At 56.7% G+C, this 22,346-nt stretch overlaps 2 protein-coding genes across 43 annotated transcripts in view, besides 2 other annotated features; one reads left to right on the top strand and one right to left on the bottom strand.

Moving 5' to 3' along the window:
* APBA2 (amyloid beta precursor protein binding family A member 2) overlaps window positions 1-3,769 on the top strand; it is a 232,342-nt gene extending 228,573 nt beyond the window's left edge. For all 36 annotated transcript variants that reach the window (NM_001379685.1, NM_001353790.2, XM_047432424.1 and 33 more), the window contains one exon: window positions 2,516-3,769. In NM_001379685.1, the coding sequence (NP_001366614.1) occupies window positions 2,516-2,587 (72 nt within the window). In that variant the 3' untranslated portion in view covers window positions 2,588-3,769. The remainder of the gene's footprint in view (window positions 1-2,515) is intronic.
* Window positions 616-1,416: an enhancer, noted in NCBI's record as "H3K27ac-H3K4me1 hESC enhancer chr15:29407365-29408165 (GRCh37/hg19 assembly coordinates)". NCBI's record gives its function as "activates a minimal SCP1, AML or CMV promoter by ChIP-STARR-seq in naive H9 embryonic stem cells {active_cell/tissue: H9 hESC(naive)}" and the evidence as "EXISTENCE:reporter gene assay evidence [ECO:0000049][PMID:30033119]".
* ENTREP2 (endosomal transmembrane epsin interactor 2) overlaps window positions 3,166-22,346 on the bottom strand; it is a 557,698-nt gene continuing 538,517 nt past the window's right edge. For 4 of the 7 annotated variants that reach the window (NM_001387216.1, NM_001387214.1, NM_015307.2 and 1 more), the window contains 5 exons: window positions 21,820-21,955; window positions 14,243-14,318; window positions 11,721-11,945; window positions 10,141-10,215; window positions 5,706-9,109 (listed from right to left, as the gene is read on the bottom strand). In NM_001387216.1, coding sequence (NP_001374145.1) covers window positions 8,793-9,109; window positions 10,141-10,215; window positions 11,721-11,945; window positions 14,243-14,318; window positions 21,820-21,955 — 829 coding nt within the window. In that variant the 3' untranslated portion in view covers window positions 5,706-8,792. Of the gene's footprint in view, window positions 4,473-5,705; window positions 9,110-10,140; window positions 10,216-11,720; window positions 11,946-14,242; window positions 14,319-21,819; window positions 21,956-22,346 lie in introns of those variants that run through there. The other 3 variants (NM_001387217.1, NM_001387215.1, XM_047432323.1) reach the window with 2 other exon arrangements.
* Window positions 17,807-18,423: an enhancer, noted in NCBI's record as "H3K27ac-H3K4me1 hESC enhancer chr15:29424556-29425172 (GRCh37/hg19 assembly coordinates)". NCBI's record gives its function as "activates a minimal SCP1, AML or CMV promoter by ChIP-STARR-seq in primed H9 embryonic stem cells {active_cell/tissue: H9 hESC(primed)}" and the evidence as "EXISTENCE:reporter gene assay evidence [ECO:0000049][PMID:30033119]".

Genomic DNA, 22,346 nt, shown 5'->3' on the forward strand with positions numbered 1-22,346 from the left:
GGGAGGCCTGGCCAGTGCGCAGCGGGTGTGCGTGTGTGTGTGTGTGTAGTGTGAGCGAGTGTGGGTGTGTGCATGTGGATGTGTGAGAGCATGGGTGTGTGTGGGATGTGATGTATGAGTGTGGGTAAGTGTGGGTAGGTGTGGGAAATGAGTGTGTGCGTGCACGTGGGTGTATAGGGGTGCATGAGTGGATGGGTGTGGGTGTGTGGCTGTGTGAATGTACCTGAGTGTGCGTGTGGAGGAGTGTGTGTGTGTGGGTGAGTGTATGCGGATGTACGTGTGTGTGTGAGAGCATGGGGTGTGTAGGAGTGCGAGTGTGGGTGTGTGCAGGGGTGTGTGGCTGTGGGTGTGTGTGAGCATGGGGTGTCAAGCATGAGTGTGTATGTGTGCACGGCTGTGGCTGTGGGTCTGTGAGTGGGTGTGAGGCATGGGGTGTGAGGAGAGTGTGAGTGGGTGTGTCTGTGTGTGTGTAGGGGTGTGTGAAGGGGTGTTCAGCACAAAGGGGCTGCAGGCTCTCTGGGAAGCGTGGTGGCCGCACGAGGCGGGAGGCTGAGAGCTGAGGAGCCCGGCCTACAGAGGGGCCCGCTGGGGACCGGGCAGGGAATTTGGGTCTGGGGACAGCAGCAGCAGGCCGGGCCGTCTGTGGTGCTCCCCCTGGTGGCTCTGTGAGGCTGAGTGCGTGGCGACCATCCTTGCAGCCTGTGGGTGGGCGGGTGGGTGGAGGGGTCTCTAGTTCCTGTTCTTCGGATGAGGTCTCCAGGAGCCACATCGGGACACTGGTATTTTGTGCACTGCAGGGTCGGCTGGGAGCTGGGAGGCCTGTTTTCCCTGGACTGGTGGGGGCAGGGGTCTGGCTCAGGAGGAGGAGGGGCCAGGCGGACACCAGCCTCCCTTTGATGGCTTCAAAGAAAGGAAAAGCCAGTGTTCCCAAGTAGATGCTTTGAAGCGGCCGCCCCCACGGCCAGCAGCCCCACACCTGTGAGGAAATCCACCCGTGGAGGAGCGGGCGGGAGAACGGGGAAGAGGCAGGAGGCGGCCGGGGCGTTGGAATCCTTTCAGCCCTGCCGAGGTTATGGTGCCTGTTTCCAGCAGCTCTGAGCCCACGCGGAACATGAGTCGCTGATAAACAAGGCTTGCAGTTGCGAGGGGCCTCGGGGTGGGTTTCTGGTTGAGGAACGCCGGGGAATGGCTGATGGAGGAAGCCCCTGCCGGGAGCAGGAGCAGCGGAAACCTACATCGGCCACACAGATCCCGGCGGGGGAGGGAGGGCAACGCTCAGAAGCAGAGCTGCGCGATGTGCCTTTCTGGGCTGCTCAGCCCAGGGCCCGAGACCTGCTTGCCTGAGGAGGGGCAGATGCACGGCGGCTGCACCCCGTGGGGAGGCCAGCATGCCTGCGGCAGCTGACCCTGGCAGTGCGAGGGCCCCCCATCCGGAGGCCGCAGCCTAGCACAGTCCCGGGCAGGACAGGGGAGAGCGTCGTGCTCAGGAGAGGAGAAGTGGGCAGTAGAGCTCCCTTTCCGTTCTTGAAGCAGACGTTTAGAGTCTGCTCCTTCCCAGTGTCCGCAAAGAAGGATTACAAGGCGCGCCACCCACACGGTTGGTCTCCCTGGGGCGGTCTGAGGCCTTGCTTGTATACCCAGCTCCTTTGGAGTCAGGGCTCGAGGCCAGGCCCCAAAGGGTCATTTGCTCACCGATCCCCAAAGGCTAAGAACTTGAGGTGCCCTGGGCCCCAGCGAGCCTGTTCCCAGCCCCCAGCACACTTTCCTGGCCCGTGTGTGTTTTGTAAGAAGGGGTGTAGGCCGGGCGCGGTGGCTCAGGCCTGTAATCCCAGCACTTTGGGAGGCCGAGGCGGGCGTATCACGAGGTCGGGAGATTGAGACCATCCTGGCTAACACGGTGAAACCCCGTCTCTGCTAAAAAATACAAAAAAATTCGCTGGGTGTGGTGGCGGGCACCTGTAATCCCAGCTACTGAGGAGGCTGAGGCAGGAGAATGACATGAACCCGGGGGGCAGAGCTTGCAGTGAGCCGAGATTGCACCACTGCACTCCAGCCTGGGCGACAGAGCAAGACTCCGTCTCAAAAAAAAAAAAAAAAGAAGGGGTGCGTGTGTCTTCCCCCATTGAGCTCCTCCTCAGTGAAGCAGAGTGCATCCCTCGCAGTTTCTGCCGAGGCCTGGCCACCCCCAGCCAGCCCCAGTGGATGGGCAAACTGTTGTCACCACTAGAAGTCCAATTTCTCACCCCTCGGGTGTCAGCTGGACTGGAAGCAAAACTAGCACTCAACTGTATTGACTCCTCTGGAGCCAGGGGTGGGGACCTGGAGTCTCAGTCTGCTGCATCTGGAAGGCATCATAAGTGTCCCCAGGCCTGGGCAGGCTGGCCTTCCTCCTTCACTCTAGGAGATGGGCATTTGAAGCAGAACTCTGGGGGGTTTGCCTCTGTCCTTTGCTTTCACCTGATTGTGGGAGGGGAGGTGGGAGGGCAGCGGCTCAGCCTCCTGTTTCTGTCCGCAGATCCACATGAAGACCATGCCCGCCGCCATGTTCAGGCTCCTCACGGGTCAGGAGACCCCGCTGTACATCTAGGCCACCCCAGCCTGGCCACGCAGCCAGGACACCGGGCAGGGCCGCCCGGGCCCAGAGGAGCTGGGAGCCGGGCCGCAGACTTGACCCCGACGCCACAGCCCAGCCACGGACGCTGGCTCCCCAAAGGGTGTGCCCTCACCACCCACTTGATTTTTTTCATTTTGCCAAAAAGGGGTATGTCTTTATCAAAGGAGAGTCACAGAACAAATGTTTGTTTGTAAAGCGTTCCAAGTATTTTGCCACGTTCTGGACTGTCTTCTCCCTGCACAAGCCAGGGTGTGTCTCGGTAGCTGTGCGTGGTGTGGAGTGTGTGTCTTTCCTCCCTGAAGCTGTGCGGAGCGAACTGGCGCCTCCGAGGGACGCGGCTCCCGGGGCAGGGCAGCCGTCACCCCTGCCTCCCGCCCCCTTGGCTGGGACGTCTGGGGTCCTGTGGGGCCCCCACAATGGTCCCAAACAGCTGCCTCTGCCACTGACTGCAGGGACACGGGCAGCCTGGCTCCCAGGACACGACTTGTAATGAAAGTTTGGGGACATGTGATTGATTGATTGATTGTAAATAAAGGATGATGGCCACAACATGAAAACTCCATATTTATTTAGATGCTATTATTACTGTTTGGACTTTTATTTTGGCAGGCTTTTTTCCAGACTCTAGGGTTTTCCAATGTGACTAATGACCACACCTGCCTCTCCCGTCGTCTCTTCTGGGCACCCTCCCACCCGGCTGCATACCCGGGCAGGGCTCCCACAGAGACAAGGAGGGCACAGGTGTCTGCCCCCTCTTTAAAATCGATCTACACACATCCACGCACATGCGACCCCGAGGAAACGAAACCCACTCTAGAAAACGCGACCTTGGCCGCACCTAAAGCAGCCAGCCGTGAGTGCAGACCCCTTGGCCAGCGTGGCGCAGTGGCCCTGAGCAGTAGTGGCATGTGTGTAGATCAAGTCGGATCTAGTCCAGCTCGGTTCATTAGCGATCCATGTAATCTGACGTCATCTTGTCTCGAAGTCTCTTTTTTTGGCCCAGGCCTTGAAGAATACACTGTGACTTAAGAAGCCTTACCACGCAGTAACTAAAGCTTTAGGATGACTGTATTCGAGGAGTGCCGTGTGTTGCATGCAGCTACCCGTAGGAAGACTTCGCGCATATCACTAATAAACCTGAAGTCGTGATGAAAAGCCGTGTGTGTGACTGGTCTGTTACCTCAGCGGCGGGTGCCCGCCTGTCCTTTCATTCACAGCTTGGATGCGGCTCTGCAAATTCACTATGCGGTGGCAGCCACAGCTGCTCTGTGCTCCTCCTGGATCCTGAACCTTGGAAGCTGTCACTAATGAGTTCGGTGGGTGGGTGCTCTGGGCACCAGGTGTCAGCTGGGCAACGCCCCGCTGCAACTGGAGGTGCCAGCAATGCTACCAGGTCACGGGGTCAGCGCCAGGTTCTTGACCCACTTGCCCCAGCAGGGAGACACGTCCGCAGAGCACTCACTAATGGAATGAGGGAGCCAGGGAGCCTTGGGCTTCTTCAGATTTCAACGTAAATGGCCCCTGGGAAAGGTGTGCATGCGTGTGCGTGTGTAAAAGCCGGACCGCCCATCCCAGCACCCTGTCTGCACCTGTGGGTCCTTTGCAGCCTGTCTAGAGTGACAATTCTGGCAGCTCTGCCAGCACTTACCTTTCTTCATGGCCACCGTTCTGGTGTCACCTGGTGTGGGAAAGCCAGGTAGCAAGCACGGGCTTTGTTCAGAGGCGGTGGCCTGGGGTCCAGCTGGGTTAGGCTGTGGGTCTTGGATGGGCAGGAGCCCTCCTCTCTGGCCTGCCCACAGCAGCGTGAGCTCCTTGCTGTGGGCACTGACCACCTTCACGGCCCAGGATTCTTGGGGAACTGCAGAGTAAGGAGAAGACTTACTCTCACCTAGCCGCCCAGAGGGTGTGGGCCAAGGGCTTGCTCCAGCATGACCTTGGCCATCAGGGGCATATAAAAGAGACGGCCTTTCAAGGCGCACACCAGCTTTGTGCCTCCCTCTTCCCAGAAAGTATACATGGTAGAGGCAAAGAAAGCTGTTCCATAGGAGACTGTCACAGAGAGCTGCGTATATGCCGAAATGTATATGCACTCGCTCTGAATGAATATGCTTAAGAATGATGAGTTCATGTCCTTTGTAGGGACATGGATGAAATTGGAAACCATCATTCTCAGTAAACTATCGCAAGAACAAAAAACCAAACACCGCATATTCTCACTCATAGGTGGGAATTGAACAATGAGATCACATGGACACAGGAAGGGGAATATCACACTCTGGGGACTGTGGTGGGGTCGGGGGAGGGGGGAGGGATAGCATTGGGAGATATACCTAATGCTAGATGACACGTTAGTGGGTGCAGCGCACCAGCATGGCACATGTATACATATGTAACTAACCTGCACAATGTGCACATGTACCCTAAAACTTAGAGTATAATAAAAAAAAAATTAAAAATAAATAAATAAATAAATAAAATAAAATAAAATAATAAAATAATTCACAATTCTAGCAAAAAAAAAAAAAAAAAAAAAAAGAATGAAAAGCAAATACAATTCTCGACGTGGCCAACAAACAAGAATGCCAGGGATGGCCACATCCTTGGGGAATGAAGAGAAATGTCGCCTGAGTCAAAGCTGGAGGGAACGGGATTCCACTCAGGAGGCCAAGGGGGACATTCCTGCCGTGCCCAGGACAAGGCGGGGAAGCAGGTCCCGGGGAGAGAGCCCTGGCTAGCTGAGGACATGCAGGCAGGACTCCCACCAAATCATACACATCTTTAAAAAACCTGTATTTAAGGAAACATCTGAGCCATGGCCTGCATTCCTCCCAGCAGCCCTTGGAGGCCATGTCCATGGAGGGGCTGCCATGGCCAGCGTGGACGGGCGTGGGTGTGTCCAGGCCCTGGCCCTCCCCACTCTGCCCCGGAGTTGACCCTCTCCGGAAGGCTTCTGGAAGCACAGCTGAGTGGCATGGGTATCCCAGGCTCCCCGGCTGGCTACTGCAAGGTCCTCTCAGGACCCTGCCCCTGGCCACTGGGGTACACAGCCTCTCAGCCTGCCTCTGTCCCAGTTAGACCTCAGAGACACAGAGGCCAGAAATACTTCTTTTTATTAAAACACGGATCATTATTAAAACACCTTGAGGTACATTAAATAAATACAGCCTTTCCAGTTGTACAGACAGGTCTCTGGTGGCTTGAAAACAATTTCCTATAAATTCTGCCTTAGCAGCCTCTGAGAGTCAGCATGGGTGGGGAGAAGCATGTGTGTGTAGCGAGCTTTCTGTGGCCTGGTGTGTTACAAGCATTTAATGTGGATCCTCATCTCCAGCCAAGGGAGACCTGAAGTCCTTGCGGATGATGCTCCCCCTTCTGCGATCTTGCTTGCCATAGAGTTGGGGTCCATGTTCTCCCCACTCAGCAACCTTGTGGCCCCCAGGCTGGGGTCAACGGTGGTGTCACAGCAGGTGCCAACCCCCTTTGGGTCTCAGGGGAGGGCAGGGGATGCCCGGGGCCCAGCTGAGTTGGAGAAGGAGCGTGTCACCCCCAAAGCAGCCACAGTTGGCCCATTTCAGATCCCAGATGGAACATGATTGGAGCGGGGGAAAGACGCATAGGGAGGGGAAGCAGCCAGCTTTCTCCTGGGCTGTGAGCTGACGTGCAGCCCGGGGCCTGGGCTCTTGCTGCTGGTACCCGGATGCCGTGGAGCCGGGGCCAAGGGGACCACAGCTTCTGGGTCAAGTTGCCAGCACATTCCCTAGTCTACCAGCACCTCTCTCTTCTGGGGACCTTCCCAGGAAGCCCAGAACCTGGACCCTCCTAGAGTCCATGAGTGGCCCTGAGCAGCGGGGCTGATGGGGGCACCCCACCCCGTCCCTGACTGCCTCATTTCGAAGGGGCAGAAGGTTCCAGCCCAGCGGCATCAAGTTGGGTACAGTTTCCGTATCCACAAAACAGAGCTGCCACCAGCGCAAACCCAGAGCTGGGTGAAGGTGGGGTGCAGGTGAGGGGCCTACAGGGAGGCACTGCTGGGGCAGCAGCCCCATTGGCCATTGGGACCGGGCCCTGCTGCAGAGAAGGGAAGGATGCTGAGCAGCAGGCTGAGGGGGTCCAGTAGGCCTCTGCCCCGGCTGCATGAGGAGAACACCCCAGAGACCGAGTCCACTGGGTGGCTGGTGGTCTTGGCCTCGCTGGAATTGCAGCCATGTCTGAGGACTGCAGCTCTAGCCCACCCAAGGGCTCAGCCCAGGGACAATGCTGTGTGAACCCCCAAGCCCTAGTGTGGACCCCCCCAAGCAGGTGAAACCCCTGCGGCGTGGCCCCAGCGCACCTCAGAGACAGTGGAGATTCAGAGGCCAGGGCGTCAGGCGTGGCTGAAGCTCGGCTCCAGGGCGGCCATTCTGAAAATCCACCAATTAATTTCACCTGCAAAGGGACTTGCCTTGAGGGAATTCAAAAGCCCCCACTTGAGGAAAATTAGAGATTTCCTGTTTTATAGTCTGAATAAAGTGCTCAAAAATTCATCTCTAGTACGTCTCTCCTGCAAAAGTGCAGGTTGTCATCAAAAGGCCTGGCTTATGTGTTTTCAGCTCTCTAAAGCAATCGAAGCCTTTTCAGCCGACCACAGCTGAAGGAGTCCCACACCGCAGCCCCCAGGGCAGGGATAAAGGACTGGAGGAAGGCTCTGGGCACCTGGATTGGAACCTCACCCCCTTCCCAGCTTCCAGCCACACAGAAGCTCCCCAGCACACTGGCCACAGTGGCATTAGGGAATTGGGGGAGCTCAAGGACAAGCCCCACAAAGCCGAGGGAACAGCAGCGTGAGCCCCCTGCCCTGGCACCCAGGAGTGGAAGACACCCTCTGGTCCCCCTGCGCCCCCATGCCAGGCTCATGGGCTCTCTGGGGAGACCTTGGCCTCTAGGCTGTTTTGTTCACCGCAGGGCCCACCCAACGCAGCTCAGGGGCTGTGGCTGCTAGTGGCCCTGAACAGGCATTTCCATCACTGCACAAAGTTCTCGTGGATGGCGCTGTTCCACGGCCATTGTTGGGAGCAGCTGCCACTGATGCCACCAGAAAACAAGGGGATGGGGGCTAAGAAAGTCCAAGGTCCCCAGGCTGTCCCCAAGCTGGGCGTGTCTGCTTCTCCATAAGCAGCACGTTGGGTGTCTGCTTCCCTTCTCGTGTGGGTTTGTAAGTGGTTTATGATCCTCCTGCGCAGGTGTGTCTGCTGCCGCATGCCCGGGGAAAGGTCAGCTCTGGGTCAAAGGGACCTGCTTTATCAGGAGGGGCTACTTCTCAGAGAAACCGGCCTCTCTCCTGCAGAACTGTGACCCGCTGAGCTCAATCAAGTGAGCTCAGACACAAAGGAGCTGGGAATCGGCACTTGTTGTTACGGATCACACAACTGCTCCAGGGACAGGATGGGAGCCTGGAGAAAGGGGGCCCAAGAGGAGGGGGGGAAGGCACCCCACGGAGGGAGGCCGAGCTCAAGGCCCAGGAGATGGTGGGTTCCTCCAACCCCCGCAACACCGGCCTGTTCCCTGGGGGGGGCCGGGCTATGGCAGAGGCCCGCACTGCACATTTGTTTGCACAATAGCCCTGTGGACAGAAAGTTGGGCCCAGGCTGCCATCTGTGCTAACACTACCTATTTCCTTTCACAGGAAATAGGCCAGAGCGTGATGAACGCCTAATGATAGAGCCATCGAGCCACATGAGAAAATGTTTCATGACTCGATGTCACCCTCTGTCCACTGAACACTAAGTTAAATGGGGGATGGGAGACTCCTGCTTTGGAAGGCCCTGATTTTGGAGATACTTTGAGTCTTTAGGTGACGTAAGTGTCGCCTGTTGCTGTATTCACATTTGTGCAACACTGCTCAGTTCAAGGTGCTGCACGCCAGATAAAACCAGAGAGTTCACTGTGGACGTGAAAGTCATCTTTCCGAATTACTGGGCTAGGCAGGAAATGCAATCCCCAAAGAGACACTGCTCGGCTCCCCTCGAGAGAGGGGGTAACAGTTCCCTGCCCACACCGCCCCCAGATCATCCTGGGTGTCCCCCCCACATTTATCCTCCGCCAAGCTGGGCCTGAAGGCCTCTTTGTCAGGCATGATGGCTTCTGCCAAGAACATCTGTGGCGCCAGGCGTTGGTGTCCACGGTCAGAAATGTGGCTCCTTCATACCTGGTCCAGAACGTCAGCGCCGAAGACGGCCTCCTCCTCGAGGCGCTCCTCGTTGGTGACAGCCAAGCGCATGGCACCCACCATGTGCTGTGCCTCGGTGGGGAGGGCACAGTGTGAGTGTTCCAAAAACTTGGCCACCAAAACCCTGGCATCCGCATAGGCCTTGCTGTCCACTAAAGAGCGTGGCCGCTCTTTGGAGGTCGCTGGGAAGGGCTCTGGTGTTGGCCGTTGGTCAGTTTTCCAGGTATCTGGGTCCCCCGCTGGTGAAAGCTGGGCCCGACAGGCAGCCGTGGCAGAGCGAGACATGGAAGCTAAAAATCAAGGGCAAAAGTGCAGTTCAAAACTCACTGAAATAAGAAGTTAACTCAAAAGCAAAGAAAAGCCTGCTCGGGAGGAGCCTCCTGCTGGGGTTTCTGTGTTCCTGGGGCTGGCGCTCTGGGCATGCCCTGCTGTCCCCATCCCTCCTCCCCTTCTCAACCCCAAACTGAACTAGTGTCAACCTCCAGGGGCTGCAGCCTCCAGGAGCGAAGGCCTGGGGGGAAGGGCCACCACAGCAGGCAGCGACCCACTTCTGCCCTCTGCTAGAATCCCAAGGGCACAGGGGCTGGTCCTTCCCAGTCTTCTCGCCTCCACGACCTTTGCCCCTTTGGGTCTGATCTCTTGCTGGGGCAGAATCATGGCATCTAGAGACAGGGTCTGCCTTAAGACCAGAACTGGGGGTGGCAGAGGGAACATGAGACCGCCCCCCCCATCATGCCAGGTGCAGGCAGCCACCACTCAGTGCCCTGCTCCACTGCCTGCCAGGCCAGAGGCTGGGGACCTGGCTCCAGCTCCCCACAGAGCTGACAGCCTCTCTGCATGACCCACAGGCTGGACACTGGGCTGAGGGTCCCTGTAAGACGGCCAGCTCCGGGCTGTCAGTGGCGAGGGACGCCAACAAGGACCAGCGAAGGCCCGGCTTGCCCAGCCTGAGCTTCACGCCACACAAAGTTGGAACATTCTGGGTCGTCTGTTCTGGTGTCTTGTTTGGTGGCAACTGGAAAGCCTAGCAATTAAACATGAGAAATTAAGAAACTCCCAGGTGGGGCCCATCTACCCCAGATGAAATCTCATAAAGTGGGCTGAGCAGTCACAGGTGTGTTAAATTAGTGCTAGCCCTGGATATAAGTGCACCGAGAGACAAAGGAAGAGAAAGGCCCTCAAAGCCAGACAGTGGGCAGCCCCCATTCCCGGGGGTGGGGTGAGGAGCTGCATTTGGAAACAATGTAGCCAAGGACCCACCAACACCCGCCCCACCTCCCAGCAGGCGCAGTCAAAGCGCTTTAGAAAAGAAGCGTCTCACCGCTCCCAGGCACAGCCTCAGACAGTCCCGCTTCCAGGTCCTGGCTACACGACGGCCTGTGTGAAGAGGCATCGCCTTAACCAGAAGGAGAATTCAGTGAACACATGAAAGGAAAAAGGAATTCCTGAGAAAGCTATCATAACCCGCCTGTGACTAAGACATTTTAGATGGCGAGCAAGCAGGAGAAGCCTGCTGAGCTGACACCCACCGAGCGGCAGATCAGACAGGAACCGCCCTGCAGCTGGCCAGGCCTGCCGTGGGTCAAGTGGTGTCCCAGGTCCCACCCTGACACAGTGCAATGGGCCAGTGGCTCAAAGAAAGCCCAGCACCCTTCATGGGAATTCCCACCCTCACCTGAAGGGCTCCAGGCACCCTGGAAGGCATGTGCCTGCGGCGTGCACATCAGCCTAGCCAAGAGGGGACAGAGGCGTCAGGCGGGTGTGTGGGTGCCGAGGTGTGAATTTCACTGAGAGGGACAGGCCCAACAAAGCCATCAGGGGGCCACAGAGTGGACCCATGAGCCCCTCCAAGTACAGGGCATCCTCCTCCAAACCTCAGTGAGTGAATGTGAGCATGGTGGAGAGAGGTTCCGGAGCTCAAGAAACCAGCAGAGGGGGGTGTTTCAGAAGGTTTGACGGGACTCTCTCCCTGTGAGCTGGCAATGGGATGCAGGAAGGAGGAATACAGAGATGACCGCAGCCAGGGAGTCCACATGTGCCAAACCTGGTATTTCCACCAGGAGGGTACCTCCAGGCAACTGGCCACTGCGGGCTCTGGTTCCTTTCAGGGACTCGGTTCCGGGCTCCAGTAGAGATCAGCTGGGCAAGACCATCGAGGGGAGACTGAGCCAGGACCCACTGCGCCCTCTTCAGGGTTCCTGCACTTCCACTTCATGAAAAGTCCCCACAGCAATGGCATGGAGGTCAAAGGCCCACCAATCTTTATTGGCAGAAACTGTGCCTCCTCTCAAAAGACAGTGATGAGGACTGGGTGTGAGTTCTCCAGCGCCGGGGGTGCCCAAGACTCCCGGGGAGCTACTGTGAAATGCAAATTCCTGCGCTGCTGGCCACAGGGACCTGGTGCCAGGTCCTAGGCTCCAGGGCACTGCCCGCAGACACAGTCGCATGGGGCGATTTTTGAAAGCTCTGGGCTGTGTGGAGAGCCAAGCTGCCTGGGAAATGCTGCTGAAAACGCACCTGTGTCTGCGTGGGGCGGCTCCAGCTGATGACACCCCCATGCCCAGAGCTATCGTTGGGGGTCATCTGTCCTGTGCCAGACTCTAGGCCTTTTCTGGGCCCTGGAGCACGTGTGCAGCACTTATAGCTAATGTCCTGGACTGGGCCCCGGGCCCCTTGAATCCTTCCTCCCCTGCCAGAGTGACAAGCCTGGTGGGGTGCAGAGGGGCCCACAGGCTGCTCCCCACCCACCCCTGGCTCAGGGGCCATCAAGACCACATTCCCAGTGTGGCCCCAGACAGGATCTGCAGGGCCGGGCCTCCACTCTCAGGGGTCACTGAGACCTGCAGCATCCAAGGAAAGCTGGCCACACTCTGGGGACATGGGTGAGCCTGGCCAACCTACCTGCCATGCTAGATGTGCACAAGGTGGGGTCGCTGGTGGAGCGGGACACACGCCCGGGACCTGGCTGCACCTGTGAGCCCATGCCAGGATCCTCTGGAGACACATGGCCAGGGGGAAGGGCAGGTTCGGAGGGTGCTGGGGCGCCCACAGGGCCATCGGGGGATGGGCTGGAACCTGGCGTAGCAGTGCCCTCGGACACCAGGAGGCTTGTGCTGTCAGCTGGTACTGCAAGAGAAGGGACATGGCATTAGAGTGGGCGGCCGCAGGGGACGCTGGCGTGGGACAGGCCTGCCCCTCAAACTCCAGACCTAGATGAACTCTGAAACCCTGGGGGTGCGGAAACACTGGATAAGATTGACAAATGCTGCTTTATGCTGTTGAAAGTTGGGGGCACCAGATGAGCTCCCAGAAATCATTCCAGGAATGGCATGGTTCGGGGGCTTAGACCCTTCACACTACACAAGAGACTAAAAGTCAGAAATCAGACACTTTGGTCACAAGACGCTTTGGTCTGGGTGAACAGGGCCAGTGCAGGGGTACACAGCAGCCCCAAGGGACATCAAGGCATCCCCACCAGGTCGCGGCAGGCCAGATCTCAGGCCCGCCCTTGCAGGGGTGCAGCCCCGGGCCTGGAGTGCAGCCAGACAGGGTGGTGCAGGCAGGTGGGATAAACTCCGCCCACCAGACACTGGCCTTGGCTCTCAGGGTGTGGACGCCACGCCAGCAGCAGCAGCAGCCTTGCCCTGGGAACAAGCGGGGAATGCAGACTCTCAGCTGGACCCCAGACCCATGGAAGCAGAGACTCTGGCGCTGGGCCCAGCCACCGGGGTTGAAGCGAGCCCTCCAGGGAATTCTGATGCCCTCCAAACTGTAAGAACTGCTGGTCTGGACCGGGATGCTGGTCAGGGCTGGGCTCTTGCCGGGAACCACTCTACGGGGGCTGGATCGGAGTCTGTTTTAATACCATCTCCACGGGGTGTGCATGCATGTGACAGTGTGATAAGCTGCTCCTGCACTCTCCCCTCCCATCACCAGGTGCCCTCAGAGCCCCCTCCTGGCGCCACAGTGGAGTTGCCTGCATGGGGGACACTTCATAGATCACAGAAGCCTGGACTCCTCCAGGCGTGGGGGCTTTGGGTCTGTTCCTGCCATCCCTTTCTGTTTTTCCCTGCGTCTGTGAGCCTGCCCATGGGCAACAGGCTTTTCAGGCCACCTCCCACTTCATCCTTCCTGTCCGTCTGTGAGGCAGCCCCAGGTTACCCCCACCCTACAGCTGCAGAAATGGGCTTAGACAGGGAAGGGTTGAGGGTCACACAGCCACCAAGGTGGTCCTCTACTCAGGAGAGTCCTGACCCCTGTACCCCAGCAGAAGCCTCGGTGCTGGAAGCTCTGCTGGTCCCTGGGTCAGCTGTAGAGTTCACCGCCCAGGTCCCAGGAGGGAGGAAGATCCAGCCCTGCTGAATTCTGGGTGAGGAGCACCCCTGTCTATTTCCACCTGCCCTGAGATGGGAAACAGGAAGGGGCTCAGGTAGCACCAGCCCCCTTCAGCCCAAACCCTGGAATGCTGCAGGTGTGGCCGCCCTGTGACAGTGACTGAGATACACTGTACCCTGGGTTGGCCGTGGGAAAGTCACTGAATACCTTCTTGAACAGCCTCTGATGGCTTGGAGTGACCAAAGGAAGGAAAAGATTGCTTCCAAATCCCACGACTGCAAAGATGCTGCGCTCTACAACCCCCGGTGGCCTCAGAAAGATGGCTCCTTCCTGTTTCTCTTAGATGCTGAGTGAGTGTTCAGCAGGGGACAGAGCGCCCTGGGGCGATCATCCTGGCCCTCTGTGGGATCACATGAGTTATCTAACTTTGTTCTCCAAATAAGCCAGCCCATGTGACCCCTCGCAGGGGCCTCAAGACGGTGGCTCTCTGGCTCACTTGGCCTCCGTGCCCTTTCTCCCTCTGCTGCTAAGGGCCCTTCTGCTTTCCTGGAGCCTTAGACCACCTCCCCCGCCCCGGCTCTGCACGCGACACCCACCCTCTGTGTCTGGGGATTTGACCCTTGCACACGTGTCCTTCAATGCCCTCAAGGACATGACTTCCAGCCTGCACCCTCCTGCCAGCCGCCCAGCCCAGCCACCTTCTTCAGAGGGAGGTGCCGTGTGGACATTTGCCCGGTAGGTACAACTTTGGCTCTGGAAAGGGGACCCTAGATGGAGTCGTGCTCTTCTTCAAATCCATATCCCTCAAGTGAGAAAGTGGGGCAGAGGAAGACAAGGTCTCCCCGGAGAGCGCAGGAGATCTCCTGCATATGCTGACTGTAGTGGATGCAGACACAGGAAGAAATGTGGGGATATACAGGGTATTTAATGGGAAAGACTGCTGCAAACTCCACCCTCTTAAAGAGTAAGAAATGGAGGGAGGAGGAGGAAAAAGAGAAGAGAAGAGAAGAGAATAGGACGAGGACGAAAAAGAGACACCCTTGAAAACAGGAACACCCCACTTCAGGAGCTGAAAGAGGTAAGCTTACCTGGAGTGCTGAAGCCAGCACTGGTGTTTGGGTCCCCGGAGCTGGACTCGGCCACCTGCTGACCTATACTTGTAACCTACAGTAAGAAACAGAAAGCGTCAAGGCGGCTGGTCCGTGGGAACGCAGCACAGCAGCCTCCAGTAGTGTAGGCGCTTAAACTTGTCTCCTGGTGGGAAGCGCTGAGAGACGTTCATCCACACCTCCACTCTTCTCCCCTACATTTATGAGGTGGGGTGTGAGGGTTCAAGTTGCCCTTGCCAAGGCCAAAGTCTAGTTTTCTTTTTTCTTTTTTTGAGACGGAGTCTTGCTCTGTCACCCAGGCTGGAGTGCAATGGCACGATCTCAGCTCACTGCAACATCCGCTGCCCGGATTCAAGCGATTCTCCTGCTTCAGCCTCCTGAGTAGCTGGGATTACAGGTGTCCACCACCGTGCCCAGCTAGTTTTTTGTATTTTTAGTAGAGATGGGGTTTTGCCATCTTGGCCAGGCTGGTCTCAAACTCCTGACCTCAGGCGATCCGCCTGCTTTGGCCTCCCAAAGTGCTGGGATTACAAGGTGTGAGCCACCGCCCCTGGCCGAAAGCCTATTTTTCTGAACTTTTGCAATCAGAGAGCCTGGCAGGGCCACAGAGCCACCTGAGCCTACGAGTTGCACAGTCATCGAGCTTTTGTGGCTTTCGATTTCTTTTTCTTTTCTTTATTTATACATTTTAGAGACAAGGTCTCGCTCCATGGCCCAGGCTGGAGTCCAGTGGTGCAATCATAGCTCACTGCAGACTCGAACTCCTGGGGTTAAGCGATCCTCAGGCCTCAGCCTTCTGAGTAGCTGGGATTATAGGCATGAGCTACCACGCCCTGCTTTTTTCAGCTTTCTTCTTGGATATACTCTGATTCCGCCTGGAGAGGCCTCAGAATAAGGGGAAGGCTATACCTCCTCTGCTCTCTGCCCCATCTTCATTTTGCCCATTCTGCGTGGGCCATGGTTTCCACCTCAGAGGGCATCAGGGCCTCCCGGATGCGATGTTTGGATGTGATGCCAGCTACACACATGTTGCATGAGCACCCCCATGCACCCCATGCTACCTCAGAAAACAATTTTTTGAATCCCTGTGTTATTTCAGAATTGCTTTGGGGATACACTTGCAAATAATGAGCTCCAGAGGAGACTGGGAAGGTGAGGGGGGCTCCTGCGACTTGCTCTGATTCCAGCTCAGGTAATTACATTTCTGCCTCCCTTATCTCCCGCCACTTCAATCAGATAGCTGGTCTCCTTCATCTCTCCTCTTCAACCAGGCTGACACCAGGGCGGGGGCTGGGGCTGCAGCCTTCCCACCCACACAAAGGGTGTGAGCTGCCCCCACAGCGTGGGGCTCGAGAGGTGGTTCCGAGACAAAGAGAAGACGGAGAGCTGCCCAAGTGCGTCCTTTGATCTCACTAAGATGCTTTCGCATAATACGGTCCATACTATTTTTCTTCCTTAGCCCTCTCATTCTGCTGGGAGGGAATCGGTGAGGGAGAATTCACCCCACCATCAGCACCCACCTGCTTTTTCACTGAAGTCATTATGTGCCAATAACCAGTCCTGGAAATCTCTGTCCAGAACCTTCCACTGAATCACAAAGAGCGAACAATGTCCTAACGGTTTGTTTCATCCTGTGTCTCCCCTCCCGTATCTAACCCTCTCTCGGACTTGCTTTTCTTTTGGATCGTAGACGGGTGGTTAACTTAGAACTCCGCTGTCTAAAAGAAAATCTTCTGGTAATAAAGAAATATAAATAAAACAAGAGAAAGAAAATATACAGTGGGACAAGGTCAGGAGGAAACTGGATTCACTTCATGTTGTGCAGAAGCATCATTCACTTCCTTCTGGCTCCCGGTCAGATTTGGTTTCCAGAGGAGGCAGCTCCTGGGAGCCTATCTATCACCTCTCGCAAGCAGAGTGTCAAGAGTTTAATTTAAATGTGGCCCTTCCCTGATGTCAGAAGCCACCTTGCCACGCTAAGCCATGGGGAAAATAGCACTTCCTTTCATACAGCATTTTTGATGAACTATAACAGCAGTAGAAAAGGGTGGGGAAGAAATATATTTGTGGCATAGAATTTAAGTTGAAATTTGAGTTCAGTGAGGAAGCTCATAAACACAGCTCCTTACAGAAGGAGAGCGGGGAGAGGGCTGTTGACAGGAGACGCTGTGGGAATCACTTCACCTGGGTCTTACTGGTTTGCAGATGTGCTATTCTGAACAGTCATCGTAACTGGAAAATAAGTTGGCTTTTCAACAAATAATTCAAATTGTATGAAGCTAAGACACTTGCATGGAAATTCTGCCCCATTCTGTAGTTTCCCACTCCTGGGTGAGGCCAACCATTAGAAACAGATTTATGAAGAGCTCTTCGTTTGGGGCAATTCCAGCGATTATGGAAAATGTGAGTTAAAATTTTAGGCTGGTGGCTCAAGGCAAACTTTGAAGACACTTTGCTAACAGATTTTATGTGGATCGTAAGTGTCAGGACCTGGTGCTGCTCCTGGACTCTGCTGGTCCCTCTCCCTTCTCACAACTCCTTGTCTCGCACTCAGGTTCCCTTCCACCTGGCATGCTGCCACCAAATTAAACTCCTAAAGCATCACTGGGTCGCACCCAAGACGCCAAACTCCTCAAGGGCACTTCTACAGTTTGACATCCAAAGCCATAAAATATCTGCCCAAATGATTTCAGCCCTGGGGTGCTGAAGCTCCCACAGCCAGGCTCCAGGCTGTCCTGCCATGCGCCTTAGCTGGTGCTGTGACCTTCACCTGCACCACCTCCCCCTCCTTCACACACCCCAGCCCGACAAGCCCCCCCATATCACCTCCCCCTCTACACGCACCCCAGCCCACCCAGATCACCAGGCCCGATTCCTCTGCAGAAGCCTCAAAGGAGTTCGTGTCTGTCCGGTCTCCATGTGAGAGTGCGAGAGTGCCACGACAGGGGGATTCTGTCCTACATCCTCTGGAGGGCCACCGTCGTCAGTGGCCCCTGAACCATACGCTTGCCACCCAGACAAGAAGATCAAACTGGTAATTTCTCAATCACTTTCCTGCTATCAAAAGAAACTCACTCCTTGAACACTGGCTGAAGAGTACAGCCTCAAACCACAGGAAAGAGAATGGCATCTGACCTAAGCCGGAAGGGAAGTGTGCACGGCCCGTCACCCATGCGAGTGCTCACGGAGCCCACCCTCGTGGAGGCCGCCCCCTCTTGGGTTAAACCTCTTCCCCAGCACACCCCCTGCCCCGCCCCAGAGTCAGCTCCTCCCCGACAGAGCCCGCCTTCTGCAGCCTCCTCTCTTTATCCAAACTGAGGCCGAGGGCACTTTCTACGCCATTTGTCCTAACAAGGAGGAGCACTACTGACCCTGCCTCGCCCGGGCTGCGGGGTCGTGCTGTGAAGGGGTGCTCCTTGCTGTCTAGTCAGAGGGGCCTTGCTGCCTGGGGAGGGGACAGCTGGTGGTGCAGCTGGCGGCACGGCCTTCCCTCTGTGGACGGTAATGGGTTTCTTTGACTTCCAGACTCCCAGACACGGCCGTGAATTGAAAAGTGCTCCCAGGCCATGGGGTCAAAGACAGTGGGCCCGAGGGCTCTAGCGGCCCCTTCATCACCAGATGCTGCCCTGCTGCCAGGCGGGCGCCCAGGGACAGGCCCTGCAGGCGGTCGTGCTGTGCCCCTGCCAGCACTGGGAGCTGGGGGTCTCCGAGCCAACACATGCTAATTCGAGATCAGCCTCTGACCTTTCAGCTGTTCTCACCGCAGTTCTGAGAAAGAGATCTCAACTGAGAGAATTCCCCAGAGTTCTGGAGAAGGGTGTCGCATTGGTTTCAGAACCAGCCAGATCCCTTCCAATATATTCTATTCTTCAGAGAAAACAGTAAAACTGTGAACACAACAGGAACCCATTCCTTCCGGGGGCCGCTGTGAGGTCAGACATTGAATGGCACACCCAGGTCCAGAAGCTACTTCCAGCAGGCAGGGCCCTCGGGAAGCCAGGGTCTGGGCTCCACGGACAGGGGTTCCTGTCGTCAGGAGGCAGAGGGGTCCAAGGGGCAGGGAGAACCGGGAAGCAGGCTCAGAGCCAGTCCCAGTGCAGAGCCGGAATTGTGATGGCAGCAGGCAGGGTCACTGAGCAGAGGCGGTGAAGGGGACAGAGCTGCCCCCGCGCCACAAGGCAGCCATGGGGAACCACACACCCCTGCCGCCTTCAGGGGTTTCCGGGTCCATCTGCCGCCCTGCCCGGTGCCCCTGCTGGCTACAGCATGGAGCTTCCCATTGCACCCTCGGTCAGCCTCCCCTCTGCCTTCCCAGGGGCTTCCCTCACGGAGGGCCCTGTCCTGGGCCTGCCATCCCCAGTATCTAGGTCCTTCCACATCTGCCTGGTAACCTCCTCAAGGTCCTAGATCCACACTCCCCTCTACCTACCATCCCATCTTCTCTCCTCTTTACCAAACATCCTGCGAGAGTGATCTACTCCTGCTCTCAAAGTGGGAGCAGCAGCAGGGCTGAGGCTTTTATACCCCCAACTTCAATACCCCAATTACTGACTCAGGAGCCCTGGGGGTGGGCCCAGTCATTAGGATTTGATTATCAAGTTCCCCACAGGGACACCCACTGGTGTCTGAAAACCACAGCCACACCTGCGCTCCCCTGCGCACGTGCCGTCCACTCCTTTACCTGGTGTGGTCCAGCCCTGCCCTCCATCGCATCAAAGCTGCTCTGCCAAGGCCACCAGCAGCCCCTCCATGGTGCGCCACGTGGCCCTGGATGTTAGCTTCTGGACAGCACCTGACCCATTGCTTTCTTCCAGAACTGCTGGTTTTGGCAAATCCAGGCTCCTGGGAGCCCTGCCTAGTGCCCTGTAGCCTGTCGTGTGTGGGGGTGCCTTTCTCCTGCCACCTGCAATGGTGTCATTCTGTGGGGCTCCCTCTCTCACATTTCCCAGGCCCCAGTGACAGCGGCAGCTAACTCTGATCACTATGAACTACAGCTCCTGTCATCTGGTGGACACTCACTCAGAATTCAACCCACCACACCCAGACAGGTCAACACCCATGCACACTCATCCGAGACTCTTTACGGACGACCTTCTGTTTGGGGGATACGCTGTGCCTGTCCTTCTTCCCTCTGAGCCTTTGCACAGGCTGTTCCCTCTCTCAGGAGCCCTTCCAGCCCCACTCCCTGCACCTCGCATGCCTGATGCCCACCCAGCCTGACCTCCCAGACCTTCCATGGACCCCCAAATTGGGCCTGACATCATGACAGGTGCCCCACAGTGTACTGGGCTCCCCTTGCAGTGCTGATGACAACTATTATCACAGCCAACTGTCTCCACTGATAACATTGATTTGAATTATTTTTATCATAAATGGAAAACTAAACAACATTGGGAAGGCAGAGGTCCCAGCTCAGCTTTATAAAAACACCTAAGAACATCTCCATTACTGCCAGTTCAGGAATGGGATTTCAGGGCCATGCCCACCTCCTGACTAAAGGATTCCTCTCCACAGGCAGCTCCCACACATCTGCTTCTAGCACCCACAGTAAAAAGGGGGTCCTGGCCGGGGCTCAGGGGGCCACTGTCTGCAGCCTGCCTGGCTGCTCCAGGTGTTTCAGGGTGGCTGCTTGGGGACTGTCTGCTTGTGTGAGGATGTGCTGGGGGCTCACGGGCCAGCCGGAAGCTGATCTGGCCCACCACAAGCCACCCTGAAGGAGGTCCCTGTGGTATATATGACTCCCCAGGTGCGGGGCACCTTACAGCGTCTGAATGCGCTGTCCATATATGACTCCACAGGGCACAGAGAAGTCACATCTCTTCCTGTCCTAAGACCACCCTGCCTGCAACGGTGACCAGTCCTTGTGGGTGTGATTGTCGGAAGGGCTTGTGAGCTTATTCAGCCAACATGGAAACTGCTCCTCCACCCACAGAAGCTCCTCAGGGTCAGCGCTGCCTTGGTCACTGGTTGGGACAGGGACCAGCATTGCCACCTGGCTTGCGTGCATGTGGGCTCTCGGGATCTCAAAGTGACAGGGAGAGCATTGGGGGTGACATCAAAAGGTCTGAACCCTGTGCTAGGGTGTCTTTACAGGAGTCAGCAGACAGCGAGCAGCTGGCCAGGCCTGATCTGATGCCCGGTACCAGTGCCTGGCCAGTGATCTGGGTAGAGATAACCATCCGGGGCTCCACGGCTGCTGAGAAGCCCAAAGCAGGTGCAGTTCTGGGTGGGCCTGGATGCTTCTGGTCATGCTGTCATCTGCTCTCCTCTGCTTGTTGCTTGGGCTCAGAATTGGCTTCAGCCCCTACCCCCGCCCCTCCCTGGTGAATCTGCAAGTCTCCCCTGCCCACGCCCTCTGCTCCAACTCACTGCTGTGTTCCCCAGCCATGCCCCAGTCCCCGAGGCCTCCAGGACCTCCTTGGCCACCTGTCACGGGAGTTCTCTGCATTTCCTAAACTGGACTGTCGGCCTCTCTAGCAGGATTGGGGCAATGTTCATGGATGATATCCTAAAATATGTTTTCCAGTCGTTTGCTTTCTCTCCCTGTATTTCAGGGACACCAGTGAGCTGTCGATTTGGTCTATTTACATAACCCCATGTTCCTTGGAGGGTGGGTCCTTGGAAGATCCCTTGCACTATGGGCCACGTGACTTTTCCAGATGTCCCCATCTCTCTGTCCTGGCTAGCAGCATTCCACACTGAGTCATGACAACAACGATGATGAGGAGGAAACAATACCCCAAAAGGGTGACTGACTTGCTGAATTCAGAACTTCCCATGTTCCAAGTCCTGTTGGCTCCATTACGGACAACATCCCATTTCGTCCCATAACCCTGGTACTGTTATGATCCTCATTTTACAGATGAGGAAACTGAGGCTCCACGAACATACTGCCTGTCACGTGTCAGGCACCATGAGGCTGCAGGAGTGCCTGGCATGCCCAGCTCAGAGAAGGCTGAAAGGACCTGGCAACTGAGGCACTTCCCTGGCCTGAAGCTTCTTGGCCTCAGACAGGACCAGGGATCCAGGGCTGCTTTCTCCCCACCCCAGAGGGCGGTGATGGCAGTGTGTGATCAAGACAGGCCGGGGCGCCCTGGGTACTCGGTCCATGGACCCAGCTCTGCTCCTGGGGGCTCTCCCCTTGGGTCAGGAGCTGTCCCAGGTCCTTTTACCTGGATCCCAGACCACCTACCAGCACAAAGCTCAGACGCACCTGGGCTGTGACTCGTGGCTGCAGAAATGGAACTGGGGATCTAAGGGGAAAAGCACCAGCACTGGGTTCCCCAGGCCCGGGCTGGCGTCTCTGCAGGTGCCGCTCTCTGAGCCTGTGGCCTCATCTACAGCACAGGGCTGATAAGACCAACATCCCACAGGTTTGCTGAAAGGCTTCAAGAGAGATGAATGCATCCGGGGGCCTCGGCACAGGGCGCTCATGAGTGTTCACCTCACAGCCAGCTCGGACCTGGCGCGGTGTGAGGTGCCTTCCGAGGGCAGGCCGGGACGGTGTCCCTAGCATTCCCACGGGAACTGGCTTTGTCTGGGGCCCCAGGCCTCACCTGGCTGGCAGGGGGCTGGCCCACCACCGCCTCGTACGGAGGGGGGAGCTCAGCAGGATAGAGCAGGCCGGGGCTATTGATGGCCACGTCATACAAAGTGCCGAATGGAGACGGAGCAAAGTCCAGGTGGAGGCCCCTGAAAAGACAGAATCATCACATCGTCATTGCCCGAAGGAGGAGGCAGAAGTGCTGACAGCTCTCAAAGCCGCCAGAGCAGGGGCGGCCAGGGCTTCCCCTCTTCTAATACTTCCCATCATTGTGAAATCAAAGCTTCAGTCACTGGGCGATTTGCACTTTTGTTTTTTTTTTTTTTCTGGAACGACATCAACATTTTCAATAAACTCTACTGACCTGTCCATTAAAATTCAAATAATCATACAGCTGATTACATCTTTCATTAAACTGTACATGTTACACAAATGACTGCAACGTGACCGCAGCTTTGCACGTCATGAGAACTTAAGGCAGCAACACCTGTCTGCCTCCGGCTTCTTTCGGGTTGCGTTGCAAAGGTGCCACGGGGAACG

The sequence above is a fragment of the Homo sapiens genome, chromosome 15 (genome assembly GCF_000001405.40).
Source record: "Homo sapiens chromosome 15, GRCh38.p14 Primary Assembly".
NCBI lineage: Eukaryota > Metazoa > Chordata > Mammalia > Primates > Hominidae > Homo > Homo sapiens.